Genomic DNA, 15,652 nt, shown 5'->3' with positions numbered 1-15,652 from the left:
TCTTTGTTGCCTTGTCTGCCTTTCCATCCAGCTGGGATCTCCTCGAGGGCAGGCCTACATCTGCTGCACTTTGGGACATGGAGCCTGGTCCAGCACCTGGCACAGAGCCATCCACCAGAGTTTGTTGAATGAATGTATGATTAATGTGTTACCCAGCACCCCCTGCACGTCCTGTTTGCCCATTTCTTGGGCCAGGGTAATGGAGGTTATAGACCGGGGCCCCAAGCCCAGCTCTGCCTCCAGCTTCTAGACGTTTCTGTGGATGTAATTTCTTCTTTTGGCGCCTCAGTTTCCTTATCTTTGGTGCCCCCAATTCCCAAGAGTCCCTAACTCCTCTAGCCTGGGTTTCCCTGAAGGCAGGACCTGAGAAAGGAACTTGGGTGCAGGCAGCTTATTTGGGAAGTGCTCCCAGGAACCAGGATTGAGGGAGCAGAAAAGTGAGATGAGGAAGGAGGAAGTCATCATGGGAGTGTGACACTGGGGTCCCTGTTCTATGTCACTAGGGCTCAACTGTCCTGGGATCTCCTGAGAAGCATATGGGGTATTTCCAGGACCATGCCCTCAAAGGCTGGGAGATGGGAGCATTTATCTCTGCTAGCTCTTGTTCCCCATCAGTCAAAGTTCATTCTCAGTAACCTTAAGTCTCCTGGGTTTCTGGGATGTCCTCATGCACAGGCTAGGTGGTTGCTGTGATGTGGGCAGAGGTCTTGAGCAGAAAGACATACAGAGGGCACTCGAGGTGGAACAGTGTCTGGGGAGGTTCTCCCCCAGAATTGCCCATCGCAGCTGCAGCTAAACTCAGAAGTGGGCTGAGGAGGCACCAGGGGCCTCTGCTCCATTCTTGCTAGGAAAATTATCTTAGTTTCAGGGGTCACTCAGGGGCAATGGCAATCAGTGGTTATCAGGAGCGTTGAAGAGCCTGAGCACACCCCAGCAGCCTCTTGACCCCCGATACTTCTCCTTCCTTCTAGCTGGCGTCCAGCTTCCAGGCCACTGCCCGGATTGGCTTGGAGACAGAGGCACAGTTCACGGCTGTAGAGAGGATACTGCAGTACATGAAGGTGGGGTTCAGGTCTGGGTCTGGTGTGGGGAGCCATGCAAGTTGGGGCATGACTTCTGTGACCTCTACAAGCCCCACTGGCCTCAGAGCCCTGAGACCATCCCAGGAAACACCAGGCTCCTGGCCTTTCCTCCCTGTCTTCCCCAGACTTTTGTTGACCATCTCGCTGAAGCTCTTCCATACCTGTCTGCTCACTTTGACCACATCCCTCACAGCATTCCTAGGGGGAAGAGGAGATCATCTTCTCCTCTTGGAAATGAGAGGTTTGCCCAGTGCAATAATAATGATGACAACAATCTTTGTTCCTATTATTGCTTCCATTTATGTCATGGTGGTTAAGAGCACAGATTCTGTAGCCAGATTTCCTGGGTTCAAGTCTAAGCTTTACCATTTGAATCATTGGAATAACCTGGGCAACTTATTCAAACTCTCTTTTCCCCATCTCTGAAATGAGAAAGACAATAGCGTCCCTTTGCCAGATTATCACAAAGTTGAAATGATATAACATGTAAAGCACATAGCACACTGCCTGACCCATAGTGAGGCTCCATCATGTTCTTTATTATTGTGATTGAGACCTTTCTGTGGGCCAGGCATGGTGCTAAGCCCTTTATCTAGACTATCTCATGGGATCATGGAACAATTTTATTAGGTTGATTGAATGATTATCCACATTTTTCAGACAAGGAAACCGAGGTTGGGCCAGGCAGAACTTTTGCTTAAGATCACACAGGCTGGGGCTGGCAGAGCCCTCTACAAACCAGGTCTCCTGCCCCCTTGCATGAGTGGAATTTATGAATTGTAGGGCTCTGATTTCCTGCCCAGGGATGCTGCTGTGACACGGCACCAGCATGGGGAGTTGTGGCTTGCAGCCAGGTGGTCAGATCCAACTTCTTCTCCAGCGTTCTTTCCTCTCAACACACACAACTGCACTTGATGCAGAGTGGGCTCGGCGTTAGGCAGATCTGGGTTTGAGTTCCAACCTGAAACTGTGTGATCTTAAGTAAGTTGTGGAACTTACGTTAAGTAAGTTGTTGATCTTAAGTTGTTGGATCCTCTATCTCCTCACCTGGGAAATGCCTCCAAAAAGGCCTGTCTCATAGGATGAGGATAGAGAGAGATTAAGTCTGCACAAGGGCTCTGAGCTATGAACCCCCCCGAAGGGGGGAGTCTCTGCTGCCTTTACTGTCATTACCTTGGATTCTATTTCTTTAAAGTCACACAGTAAATCAGGAACATTGCTCTATGTTAATAACAAGGGAATTAGCTATGCAGGTTTCTCACTCTTCTGGGGAAAATTTTGTATGTTTTAGGCGATGGGGGCACGGGCGATGTTCCTCTGATTACACAGCAGGGGGCTTGACCTTGGCGCAAGGCAGGCTGGGGTGGGTCACACCCCCTACAGCGGGAGGCTGGCAGGCCCGCAGGGGATGGGCCGAGATAGATGATAACTATTGATTTCTTTTTCTTTCTTCAAAAACAAGATGTGTGTCTCGGAAGCTCCTTTACACATGGAAGGCACAAGTTGTCCCCAGGGGTGGCCACAGCATGGGGAAATCATATTTCAGGATTATCACATGAAATACAGAGACAACACACCCACCGTGCTTCACGGCATCAACCTGACCATCCGCGGCCACGAAGTGGTGGGCATCGTGGGAAGGACGGGCTCTGGTGAGCTGAGCTTCCTGGGCGAGCGTCCCCAGCTCCTCCTTTGCCCTTTGGGCACTAGACCTATTTAGGGGCATGTGTTTGCTCAGTCATCCCCCAAATATGTATTAGGTCCTCATGCTGTGCTGGGCCCTGTGCTAGACAAACACTGGTGAGCGAAACCCAAGGTCCCTGTGATCATGGGATTCCAGTGGAGGAGACGGATGTTAAATAGACCAGCAAATAAAGACGGAAATGTGACAGCTGCAGGCTGTGGTGGCTGCCACAGGGTGGTATGCAGAATAATGGGGCTAGTGGTACTGGGCCTTGGATACCTGGGTTCTGAGCCCAGTGCTTAAGCTGAGGGGTATAGGGTCCGGGCAGGAGCACTTTTGGAGGGGCATTGCAGGGCACTGCCAGGATGAAGAGCAGGCTAGGAGTTAAATCCAGACTCCCCTTTTCCTCCCTCCCCACCCCCTTCCTGGACTGCTCTCACCAGCCTCTGTCTCCTCCTCTTTCCTCTCCCAGTTTCCTTTCTCCTCCTCAGTTTCTCTCCCTGTCTTCCTCTCCTGTCACTTCTGGGAGATCTGGCCCAAGTCCCCCTCCCTCTGCCTCTTTGCATTGTTCAAAAACTACTGTTAAGACTTGGTTCTTGTCCCCAGTCCCCCACTCCTGGGCACCCCAGAGCTGCCTCCTCCAGGCAGCCCCATGGATAATGAGGGCCTGCCTGGTCTGTCTCCTCAGCACTCCTGCACTGCAGGGTGAAGAGCTTCCACATATGTTCTTTTGGGTGTTCTTCTCTTGCTATTTTCCACCTGCCGATTGGTGGAAACCCTGAGAGGGCTGGGGTCTGGCAGAGAAAAGCTCTCAGTAGATTCTGACCCTACTGCCTATATTCATTCAGTAGGTTTTTACTGAGCACCTACTATGTGCCTGGGAACCGAAAGGTAAGGAAGACACACAGCTTCTACCCTTATAGAGCTTAACTATGAGAACAGGGTTGAAACCTCCAATGCTTTGGAGCCTGGCAGGTGCCATGGGTGGGTGTGATATATGGGGGCGGGGGAGGGCGGGTGGTGACTGGAGAATGCCACTGTGTCTCAACCAAGTGGCTGCGCTCAGCTCCAGCCGAGCTGTTGCCTGGGGGGGATATGGGTCCAGTGTTGCCAATTCTACTAAATTTCAAGAGAAACATGCAATTTGAACTTTTATATCTAGGATTTTTAAAAATGCTGGCAAGGAATTAAAAAATAATCCTAACATTGTGTATATGAAACAAAACATGTCTGCGGGCTGGCTTTGATCCAGGGGCCCCACGTGTGCCCTCTGATCTAGGCTGTAACAAGCTGCTCATGGCATTAGGTATCACCTGGAGCAGGGACGCCAGCCCTCTCCTACCCCTTCAGGGCTCACAGTGATGAAGAATGGGCCACGGAGGGCAGCGGGTCAGGTGTGATCGCCAGGTGCGATCTGTGCTTCCGCTAGTGCAGATGCAGGAAACTGAGGCCCCGCTTGTTTCTTGCCCCACAGGGAAGTCCTCCTTGGGCATGGCTCTCTTCCGCCTGGTGGAGCCCATGGCAGGCCGGATTCTCATTGACGGCGTGGACATTTGCAGCATCGGCCTGGAGGACTTGCGGTCCAAGCTCTCAGTGATCCCTCAAGATCCAGTGCTGCTCTCAGGAACCATCAGGTGAGTGCCGGGCCAGCAGGCAGCCTGCAGGAGGTGGGTCACAGGACCAGGATTCCAGCACCGGGCTGCCTATAGTGAGCTGGTGACCAATGCCCCGATTTCCAGGCCTCCTTGGCCTGCTGGGCCACTCATGCCTACCTGGCTTACCTCACTGAAGTACTGTTGAGGATTAAATGAGGCCTCAATATATATAAGAGCACTTTGTAAACCGTAATGTTATACGCAAAAACAAAACATATTTTTATTTTTTAGAAACTGGATGGCATGGTGGTGCACAGCCGTAGTCCGAGCTATTTGGGAGGCTGAGGCAGGAGGATCACTTGAGCCCAGGAGCTCAGGGCTGTAGTACACTATGACTGTGCCTGTGAATAGCCACTGTGCTCCAACCTGGGCAACACAACAAGACCCTGACTCTTATTAAAAAACAAACAAACAAACAAGCAAACAAACAAAAAACAGAAACAAAACCCTGATGGGATTGGTCAGATTTCACTACACCATTAAGCATTTGCACTCAGGCTACCATATTCTTTCTTGTCCAGATGTAGCTTATTCTCTCTGTGCACTGGGCAAAGCCCCTGGGGACGTTTTTAGGAAGTGCTTCTTCAATGGTACACATTCTGGACAGGAGTGATGTGAGAAAAATCCAGGCAGCCCAGTCAGTGAAGCAGACAGAACCAGATCTTCCAGCCTCTTCACTACACTTTCTGTGTCCTCAGAAGTCAACTCAGGGACAAAGCTTTATCCAGATTAGGCTCCTACTGACAATGCACTTTATCTGGGAGGAAACATCAAGGCATGGGGACTGAGGAAGATGGATGCACTAAAAAGCAGGCTAGGTCCCCCCATGTTTTGTGATATTTAAGGAGAATTCTTAGAGCCAGGAGGATAAACTGAACCCCAGAGCTTCATTCATTCATTCCTTCATTCATCCTCCCACTCATTTAACTTGCCTTTTCTGAGCTTCTGCCTGGTCTGGACACTGTGCTAGGGACTGGAGCCAGTTTAATGAATGTACATTTTCCCTGCTCCCCCAGCAGGAGCTCACAGTGTGGGTGGGGAAGATGGTTTTGTACAGGGGTAAGACCCAATAAATCACAGTATGAAGGGGTAATTGTTAGATCAGAGATATGTACAAAATGCTAAGGGAGCTACGACTGGGATGAGTCACTGCCTGAGTGAATCCAGAAAGGCTTCCCAGAGGAGGGGACATTTGATCAGGGTCTTGAAAGCTGAGTAGGAGCTTGCCAGGCAGAAATAGGAGACAAACTCTTTTCAAGGAGAAGGAACAATATGTGCACAGACACAGGGTTTCAAAATGACTGGGTCATGAGGTGGGGCATGGTAGTTCATGCCTGTAATCCCAGCACTTTGGGAGGCCAAGGCAGGGAGATCACTTGAGGCCAGGAGTTTGAGACCAGCCTGGCCAACATGACAAAACCCTGTCTCTGCTAAAAATACAAAAATTAGCCAGATGTGGTGGTGCATGTCTGTAATCCCAGCTACTCGGGAGGCTGAGGCACGTGAATCGCATGAGCCCGGGAGGTGGAGGTTGCAGTGAGCCGAGATCGTGCTACTGCACTCCAGCCTGGGTGACTGAAGGAAACTCTGTCTCAAAACCTTCCCCGCCCCCACACAAAACAACAAAAAAATGGTTGTGTTAGGGGAATGATAAGACATTTAGTGATAGATTTCTATGTTACAGTAGAATGTGGCCAAATCTCCTGTGCGTTGATATGAAGAGTAGTAAAAATATGAACTAACATTTATTGAGCATTTATATGTGCCAACTGAATGCTTTAGTATACTGCCTAATTTAACTCTCCCAGCAACACTGTGAGGCCCCTTCATTATCCCCATTTTACAGATGAAGGCACGGAACTTAGAGAGGAAGGGGACTTGTTTAAAGACACACAAAGAAATGGCGAACATGAGATATAACCCTAGGTGTTCTAAACCCATAATTTGTGATATTTCCCCCCACCTCTTTCTGTAGAAAGAAATGTGGACTTGAAATCCTACCTTAGAACTTAAGGCTCTACCCTTAAGCATCTCTCTGAATGTCTTGATGCCAGCCTGGCTCTCATACTGGCTTGTGGCGTGACCTTGAACAAGCCATTTAAAACTGATAAGAAAGGAGTATACCCATCTCATGGAGGAGAAAATGTCAAATAACCCATCTATGAAAGTGCTTTGGAGATATCAAATGTCATGCAAATAAGACCTGCCTCTTCTTTAGTACACATTAGCCCTACACACAAGATATGCGTGGCTGGCACAACTGGGGAAGGATAAAGCAAGGTTGACAGGTTTCACTCAGGGCTACATGGCTGCATAGCAGGGAAGTGTCTATAGTGCTGCCTGTTCCAGATGCAAGTGTAAAGCTTGCTGGGTGTAAAGTCCAGATAGATTCCCTCTCTCATGTCAGTTACCTGGATGTTAGGATTCTTTTCACTGCAAGAAACAGAAAGTCCAGCCCCCCAACAATGAGCTACCACTTCACACCTACTAGAATGGCTATAACAATAATAAAAGGTAAATAGCAAGTATTATTAACAAGGATGTGAAAAAATTGAAACTCTCATGCATTGCCAGTGGGGATGTAAAATTGTGCAGAGACCATGGAAAACAATTTGGCAATTCCTCAAAAAGGTAAACAAAAATTAGCTGGGCATGGTGGTCTGTGCTTGCAATTCCAGCTACTCAGGAGACTGAGGTGGGAGGCTTGCTTGAGCCCAAGAGGTCAACGCTGTAGTGAGCTGTGTTTGCACCACTGCACTCCAGCCTCGTAGACAGAGTGAGACCCTGTCTCAAAAAAAAAAAAAAAAAAGTTAAACATAGAATTACCATGTAATCCAGGAATTTCACTTCTAGTTATATATCCCAAAGTGTTGAAAGCAGAGACTTCAACCCATATGTGTACACTAGTGTTTAGAGCAGCCCTACTCACAGTAATCAAAAGGTGGAAACAAGTCATACGTCTATAAACAGATGAATGGAAAAACAAAATGTGGTATATACATACAATGGAATATTATGCAGCTCTAAAAAGAAGGGAAATGTTACATGCTACAATATGGATGGACACGAAGTGAAAGATGCCAGACAGAAGGACACATACTACATGAGTCCACTTATATGAGGTAGCTGGAATAGGCAAATCCATATCGATGGAAAGTAGAATAGAAGTTACCAAGGGCTGGTGGGGAGGGGGAAGAAGAGACTGTTTAATGGGTATAGAGTTTTTGTTGGGGATAATGAAAAAGTTTTGTTTTGTTTTGTTTTGTTTTGTTCTGAGACCGAGTCTCACTCTGTCACCCAGGCTAGAGTGCAGTGACACCATCTCAGCTCACTGCAACCTCCACCTCCTGGGTTTAAGTGATTCTTCTGTCTCAGCTTCCTGAGTAACTGGGACTACAGGCTTGCATCACTGTGCCTGGCTAATTTTTGTATTTTTAGTGGAGTGGGGTTTTACCATGTTGGCCAGGCTGGTCTCAAACTCCTGACCTCAAGTGTTCTGCCCACCTCAGCCTCCCAAAGTGCTGGGATTACAGGTGTGAACCACCATGCCCAGCAGGATGATGAAAAAGGTTTCGATATAAATAGTGGTAATGGTTACATGACATTATTAATGTATTTAATGCTGCTGAATTGTACACTTTTAAGTGGTTAAAATGATAAATATTATGTACTTTCTATCACACAATAAAACAAAACCCAAATGGCTTAAGGAAAAGTGGCCTCTAATGACTCATGCATGATAATGGGGAGGCCAAGGCTGAGTTCCAGGGCCCGGTTTTCCCCTAGCATTGCCTTGCTTCATTCTGAACTCCACATGAGGGCCCTGGGGGGCTCCATGTGTCCCACTCCTGTGGGAGGATGGTTGCAATCTCTCCGCACGTCTCCCATGGTAGCCTGAAAAGTCCTGAGATACACTCTGATTGGTTACTTTCCCACCCCAAGCTAAGCACCATGGCCAGGGATTGCTGTATGTCGATTGGCTTATCCTTGAGCCCTTTGCTCCATCAGGAGTGGATGGTGGAGCCTGCCCTGGAACACATGGGCTGGGGGACTGGGGAGGAGGTGGCCCCTAAACAAAACCTGGGCCTGCTGCCTGCAGAAGGAACAGGTGCTGGGAGGCACAAAAAATCTCCATTTGTGGTGGTTCCATGAATTTCCCTAAACCCCATAATCCAGTTCTAAACATTCTTGGTCATTCACTGGGCATATAAATGAGTGTTCAAAGCCTGGGTGATGTTGTTGAACACTTCTCTTTCTCTCATATGGTAGATTCAACCTAGATCCCTTTGACCGTCACACTGACCAGCAGATCTGGGATGCCTTGGAGAGGACATTCCTGACCAAGGCCGTAAGTAGCTCCAAGGCCCAAGTCTTGGTCTAAGTCTGCATCGCCCATGGGGGGCTGCCCCTTTGGGGCTCCTCTCATGTGGTGTTCCAGCTGCTGCTGCTTCGGGTCATGGATGCATCATCTCATGGAGATGAGATGACTTGGCATTCCTAAGTCAAGGCTGATGGCACTCAGACACCAACCGTGTGCCAGACACTGTTCTAGGCTCAGGGGCACAGCAAAGACAAGGCAGATGAGGTCTTTGTCCTCCTGGTACGTACATTCAATAGGAGATAAAGGCAACAAGTAAATGCAGGAGATACTTTCAGATACTGGTAAGGGCTGTATAGGTAGTCATGAGACCCATAGAAACGTCAGGGCAGGAGCAGCTCTTTTCAATTGGGTGGCCAGGCAAGGTCTCTTTAAACAGGTGGCAGCTGAGCTGAGACCAAGAACTGAGGGGCAGCCGATGAAAGATCTTTTGAGAGGACATTCTGGGCACAGGAGCTAGCGTATGCAAAGGCCCAGAGACGAGAGTGAGCAAGGCGCAGTTAAGGAGCAAGAAAACAGAGGCTGGAGCGTAGAGAGAGGAGGGCAGTGTTGCCAATACAGCGGAAGATTGACAAGGTCAGGTTGGGTCTCACCCCACAGTGGCTTCCAGGTTATGTTGTCTCTTCTTCCCATATCGCAGATCTCAAAGTTCCCCAAAAAGCTGCATACAGATGTGGTGGAAAACGGTGGAAACTTCTCTGTGGGGGAGAGGCAGCTGCTCTGCATTGCCAGGGCTGTGCTTCGCAACTCCAAGGTGAGGCCACCACTGCCGTGTGGCCAGGGGAAGCCACAGACTACGCATGATGAGGGAAGCCACACCGGCTCCCTCTCCCTTCACTACCGTGGGACACTGGGCTCTGTGGTGTACGTCTTAACAACAACAACAACAACAACAACAACAGCAACAGAATCCAAAGGGCTTATTCATTTCCTTTTTTTTATTATTATACTTTAAGTTCTAGGGTACATGTGCACAACGTGCAGGTTTGTTACATATGTATACATGTGCCATGTTGGTGTGCTGCACCCGTTAACTCGTCATTTACATTAGGTATATCTCCTAATGCTATCCCTCCCCCCTCCCCCCACCCCACGACAGGCCCCAGTGTGTGATGTTCCCCACCCTGTGTCCAAGTGTTCTCATTGTTCAATTCCCACCCATGAGTGAGAACATGCAGTGTTTGGTTTTTTGTCCTTGCAATAGTTTGCTGAGAGTGATGGTTTCCAGCTTCATCCATGTCCCTACAAAGGACATGAACTCATCCTTTTTTACGGCTGCATAGTATTCCATGGTGTATATGTGCCATATTTTCTTAATTATTTCCACACATCTACAACCATCTGATCTTTGACAAACCTGACAAAAACAAGAAATGGGGAAAGGATTCCCTATTTAATAAATGGTGCTGGGAAAACTGGCTAGCCATATGTGGAAAGCTGAAACTGGATCCCTTCCTTACACCTTCTACAAAAATTAATTCAAGATGGGCTTATTCATTTCACTGAGTGCCATTCCACATGCATTTGTGGTGTGGGTGAGGCATGGTAGATGAGATTCACAGCCTAGGCTGCCTGATAGCGGATTCCTTACACCTGAGCTGAAATGTCTCCAACTAGACCAAATGATGATCCTCTTTTCTCAGAAAAACACAACACATTAGACCCTCGTTGATTTTTAAATTGCCTACTGTATACTGTTTTAAAAACTTGGATGCAGTACATCCCTTTTATCTTTATTAGAACTGGGAATTGGATGACAGATGCTGATCCAGGGCAAAATTGCATATATATATATTTTTTAAATTTACTTTAAGTTCTGGGATACATGTGCAGAACGTGCAGGTTTGTTGCATAGGTACACATGTGCCATGGTGGTTTGCTGCACCCATCAACCCATCATCTAGGTTTTAAGACCCACATGCATTAAGCATTTGTCCTAATGCTCTCCCTTTCCTTGCCCCCCACCACCTGACAGGCCCTGGTGTGTGATGTTCCCCTCCCTGTGTCCATGTGTTCTCATTGTTCAACTCCCACTTGTGAATGAGAACATGCAGTGTTTGGTTTTCTGTTCCTGTGTTAGTTTGCTGAGAATGATGACTTCCAGCTTCATCCATGTCCCTGCAAAGGACATTAACTCATTCTTTTTTATGGCTGCAAAATTGCATATTTTTAAAAATTTGGCGGAACAGGGCTTCCAGAAGCTTTCTAGATATTTTGTCCATAATTTCAGGTGTTTGAGTATGTGAGATAGCCTGGGGCAAACCTTCTCCTACGTAGGCGAGGCAAGACACACATGTACACACATACTTATGCATGCATATGCACATACCTTCTCCATACTCACACATGTATGCATGCTCACACACATGTATCATGGTTAATTAATGATAAATGCAAAAACTGTTGGTGCAAACTGTCAGAGCTGTGGGAAAAGAGCTCAGTGGGGCCCAAAGCCTGGGAAAATTTCAGAGGAGGTAGGACTTTCCCCCTCTTCTTTGGAGAGATGAACAACAAATTTGCAAAGTACATGTAGTACTTTCTTCACACTTCCTTATTTCAATTACATAGCCATTTGGTGCTGCAATGGCTTCCTCTGTATTGCTTCCCAAATTTGAGTCATTACTTTATGATTTTTGTCATCTCTGGGTACCACCTACCCTGTGATTTACTAATGATACTCCCTTTTCAAAAACAGCCTCATCCCAAGCAGTGCCATTTGTGAAATCACACTTTCAGTGTGAGTTACAGTTTCCTCATGCATATCGTTAATGAAATAAATACAAAAATGTTAAACTAAAAAGAATGTTTATCCATATGCTGGAGAAATCATCTCATGTGCCTCCTGGGGTGTGTGCCTGCCCCTTCTTGGAGAACACCGCTCTACTTTAGTTTCGGTAAATGGGAAAGTAGTTAATAAAACAAGAAGTTGCCACTAGGCCATTTTCATTTCCAAGAACTTAATTCTCTGGCCACTAAAATGCAGTTAGCTCCTGGTTGAGACCTAACGTTCTCTTCATAAGGTAATGGATAATCAGCAATCAGAGCGGGCTTTGCACTCGGCATAATTCTCCCATTTCCCAGCTAAAGAAATGGAGACCTGGAGAGGAAGGGCCCTGGTGAATTAGTGGTAAACCAGGGCTAGACCCAGGTCTCTAGGGCCTGAAGTAGACACCTTCACCCCTGTTTTGTATTCATCAGATCATCCTTATCGATGAAGCCACAGCCTCCATTGACATGGAGACAGACACCCTGATCCAGCGCACAATCCGTGAAGCCTTCCAGGGCTGCACCGTGCTCGTCATTGCCCACCGTGTCACCACTGTGCTGAACTGTGACCACATCCTGGTTATGGGCAATGGGAAGGTGAAGGCTGCGTCCTTGGGCTGGTGGGAGGATGAGGGCTCAGGCTGCTACCCCAGATGCCTTTGAGTCCTCCAAGGACACAAGCTCAGCTGTGCCCTGATCCTCCCCTCGCCTTTCTCTACCCTCCAGGTGGTAGAATTTGATCGGCCGGAGGTACTGCGGAAGAAGCCTGGGTCATTGTTCGCAGCCCTCATGGCCACAGCCACTTCTTCACTGAGATAAGGAGATGTGGAGACTTCATGGAGGCTGGCAGCTGAGCTCAGAGGTTCACACAGGTGCAGCTTCGAGGCCCACAGTCTGCGACCTTCTTGTTTGGAGATGAGAACTTCTCCTGGAAGCAGGGGTAAATGTAGGGGGGGTGGGGATTGCTGGATGGAAACCCTGGAATAGGCTACTTGATGGCTCTCAAGACCTTAGAACCCCAGAACCATCTAAGACATGGGATTCAGTGATCATGTGGTTCTCCTTTTAACTTACATGCTGAATAATTTTATAATAAGGTAAAAGCTTATAGTTTTCTGATCTGTGTTAGAAGTGTTGCAAATGCTGTACTGACTTTGTAAAATATAAAACTAAGGAAAACTCACTTTCTTTGTTCTGCTTCCTTTCGTTTCTTTTCTTTTTGTTTTTTTAGACAGGGTCTTGCTCTGTTGCCCAGGCTGGAGCGCAGTGGCGCAATCTCAGCTCACTGTAGCCTCTGCCTCCCAGGTTCAAGCAATTCTCCTGCCTCAGCCTCCTGAATAGCTAGGATTACAAGCATGTGCCACCATGACTGGCTAATTTTTGTATTTTTAGTAGAGGCGGGGTTTCACCATGTTGGCCAGGCTGATCTCAAGTGATCCGCTTGCCTTGGCCTCCCAAAGTGCTGAGGTTATGGGCATGAACCACTGCACCCAGCCATCTTCATTCTGCTTTTTACGTTAGCTAGTACTTATTCAGTTGCAAGGAACAGAGACTCCCTCAAACTAACTTTGGAAAAAAAAAAGAGTTTGTTGGTCTTGTAACAGAAAGATACAGAAAAAGTTCAAGGTTGGGTGCCGGAATGAAAGGATGCCTGTTTTGAGGTCTCTGTTTCTCTTCTCCTAGCTCTGCTTTCCTTTGTTTGGCTTCACTTTCTAACTTCCTCTTGCCTCATGGTGGCAATATGGTTGCCTGCAGCTCCAGGTTCACGTCCTACACACTCTGCACCCCCCAGGTCTTCTTGCCTCAATGATTCCAGGGTGAAATCTCACTGGGCCAGCTTGGGTCATGTGCTTGTTCCTGATCAATCATGTGCTAGGCTGTTGGCATACTGTGATTTGCCAGGCCTGAGCCACATGCCCATATTTGGGCCTGGGGATGGGATTTGCTGCCCTAGATCATGTAGACTGAGAATAGAAGAGGTTGTTTCACCAAAGTAAAATTGTGCCTGAGGGAAGAATGGATATGGATGCTGGCCAGGCCCCAGATAGCAGCTGTCTACTATGATTGTTTACTGAAGAGCAGCATAACTTACAACGTATGACAACTGAAAATAAAATAATTTGTTTTCTCTCTTTCTTGTTCTCACTCCCCCACCCTCCACATGTGGTTACAGACAAATAGAAAAGGCAATCATTTTCAACTTACTTCTGGGGAGACCTTGTTGTTGGGGGAAATATGTTTCAAAGTACTTTCCTTTTTATTCCAGATTATGATGTCTGATTTTCAAAAAATGCCATAAAAAATCAATTTAGTAAACCAATATTTCTCACTCTCTTGCCTGCACTGGTGCTGGGGATGAAATGGTGTCCCTGCCCTCAGGGAATTTGGAATCTCGTGAGGGTAAGTAAACAGTAAAACTGTAAACAAGTAAACAGGCCGATCCAGAACAGGGCTACCTGAGGCTAGAAGCAGGAACAGGATGCAGAGGAAAAGGCAGCCCCCGGGGACTTCCTGGAGGCAGTGTGGGCACAGTTTACTGAGACCTGAGCACTGAACAAACATTTACTCCAAGGAAGGGGACTGGGGCAGGAAAGAATGTTCAAGGCAGAGAGAACAGCAAACAAATCCCTGCGGGAATGAGCTACTACAGGGGCTGATGCAATCCTTGGACGGAACAGGAGAAGTCCGGTGCCCTGGAGCGCGAACCTTCTGTTCCCCATTTGGGACTCTCTAGTGGCACCTGCTTCTCCTTCTAGGGGGTTTATCTTTCTTAAAAAACCTTTGCTCTGTTATTCCCTTCCCCTCAGTCCTGGCTTTTTTCTTTTTTGGGCCCTGAAGTGTCCCTGGGAACCCCATATGCTACCATCCCATCACAGTTCAGCTGCTCATCTGCCCATTGAGGGTGACTCTCCTTCCTCTGCTTCCCCATTCCCAGAACTGCTGTGGGACACTGCCCTCATCACGGGTGAGGGAGCTCTCTACACACTGGCCCTCCCCAGGCCAGATGCAGCTGCCGTCTTTTCCTTGAGCGACCAGCAGATGGCAGCCTCGTCCCAAAAATGCGGTGATGGCCCCACTGGGCTTCTGAGCTGGCCGGATCCCCGGAGATAATTCGCCACAAAAGTGTTGACCCCTGGAGTCAGAGGACAGGAAATAGAGCCCATTTCCACTCAGTGTGCAGAGCCCCATCCCATCTGCCCCCGTCCCCACCTCCAGCAGCAAAATGTGAGAACCATTGGCTCCGAGCAGTAATAAAGCAGAATTTTTTGAAAAATACCATTAGTTTTTTTAAACAACATTGATTTTACATATATATATATATATATGGAGAGAGAGAGAGAGAGAGGGAGGGAGGGAGGGAGGGAGGGAGGGAAACGGAGTTTCACCTTGTTGTGAAGGCTGGAGTGCAGTGGCGCGATCTCTGCTCACTGCCACCTGGTTCCAGCGATTCTCCTACCTCAGCCTCCTGAGTAGCTGGAATTATAGGTGCCTGCCACCACACCTGGCTAATTTTTGTATTTTTAGTAGAGACGGGGTTTTGCCAAGCTGGCCAGGCTGGTCTTGAACTCCTGACCTCAGGTGATCTACCCGCCTCCGCCTCCCAAACTGTTGGGATTATAGCTGTGAGCCACCACGCCCAGCCAATATTGTAATATTTTATTCCTTAAGCTGAGTGGTGAGTGTATGAGGCTTTGATTTTTAATAATTCTTTTCACCTTTTCAGGTTTCAGAAATGTTTTATGATAAACATTTAAAAATTGGTATTTGGTCTTTCAAAAATAATACTAAAATAATTATAATGAGAGAATGCAGGGCTTTGCTGTGCTTTGTTATATTTATTTGATGGTTTGTTATTATTTTTATTTTCAATTCCATACTGGCGGAGAGGAGGTCATGGAATTTTTTTAGAGGTTCTAGAGGCATGAGTTGGGGTGATGTTGTCAGAGGCATTTGAACCAGATCAACTCCATCTTGAATAGGGGCTGGGTAAAATAAGGCTGAGACCTACGGGGCTGCATTCCCAGATGGTTAGGGCATTCTAAGCCACAGGATGAGATAGGAGGTTGGCACAAGATACAGGTCATAA

General features: G+C 47.6%; 1 protein-coding gene across 14 annotated transcripts in view, besides 3 other annotated features; it reads left to right on the top strand.

Annotated features, from left to right (window-relative positions):
• The window catches only part of ABCC11 (ATP binding cassette subfamily C member 11), an 82,721-nt gene extending 67,882 nt beyond the window's left edge, over positions 1 to 14,839 (top strand). For 12 of the 14 annotated variants that reach the window (XM_017023798.3, XM_017023797.3, XM_017023801.3 and 9 more), the window contains 7 exons: positions 972 to 1,061; positions 2,545 to 2,734; positions 4,241 to 4,400; positions 8,691 to 8,769; positions 9,440 to 9,553; positions 11,998 to 12,162; positions 12,292 to 13,885. In XM_017023798.3, coding sequence (XP_016879287.1) covers positions 972 to 1,061; positions 2,545 to 2,734; positions 4,241 to 4,400; positions 8,691 to 8,769; positions 9,440 to 9,553; positions 11,998 to 12,162; positions 12,292 to 12,384 — 891 coding nt within the window. In that variant the 3' untranslated portion in view covers positions 12,385 to 13,885. Of the gene's footprint in view, positions 1 to 971; positions 1,062 to 2,544; positions 2,735 to 4,240; positions 4,401 to 8,690; positions 8,770 to 9,439; positions 9,554 to 11,997; positions 12,163 to 12,291; positions 13,966 to 14,500 lie in introns of those variants that run through there. The other 2 variants (XR_007064925.1, NM_145186.3) reach the window with 2 other exon arrangements.
• Positions 13,310 to 13,479: a silencer, noted in NCBI's record as "silent region_7452". NCBI's record gives its function as "represses an Ori minimal core promoter by ATAC-STARR-seq in GM12878 lymphoblastoid cells {active_cell/tissue: GM12878}" and the evidence as "EXISTENCE:reporter gene assay evidence [ECO:0000049][PMID:35858748]".
• Positions 13,637 to 14,136: an enhancer, noted in NCBI's record as "H3K27ac hESC enhancer chr16:48199433-48199932 (GRCh37/hg19 assembly coordinates)". NCBI's record gives its function as "activates a minimal SCP1, AML or CMV promoter by ChIP-STARR-seq in naive H9 embryonic stem cells {active_cell/tissue: H9 hESC(naive)}" and the evidence as "EXISTENCE:reporter gene assay evidence [ECO:0000049][PMID:30033119]".
• Positions 14,137 to 14,638: an enhancer, noted in NCBI's record as "H3K27ac hESC enhancer chr16:48198931-48199432 (GRCh37/hg19 assembly coordinates)". NCBI's record gives its function as "activates a minimal SCP1, AML or CMV promoter by ChIP-STARR-seq in naive and primed H9 embryonic stem cells {active_cell/tissue: H9 hESC(naive and primed)}" and the evidence as "EXISTENCE:reporter gene assay evidence [ECO:0000049][PMID:30033119]".

Source organism: Homo sapiens, chromosome 16 (genome assembly GCF_000001405.40).
Source record: "Homo sapiens chromosome 16, GRCh38.p14 Primary Assembly".
NCBI classification, from domain to species: Eukaryota; Metazoa; Chordata; class Mammalia; order Primates; family Hominidae; genus Homo; species Homo sapiens.
The sequence above is the reverse complement of the archived record's forward strand: the minus strand, read 5'-3'. Positions and strand labels throughout refer to the sequence as shown.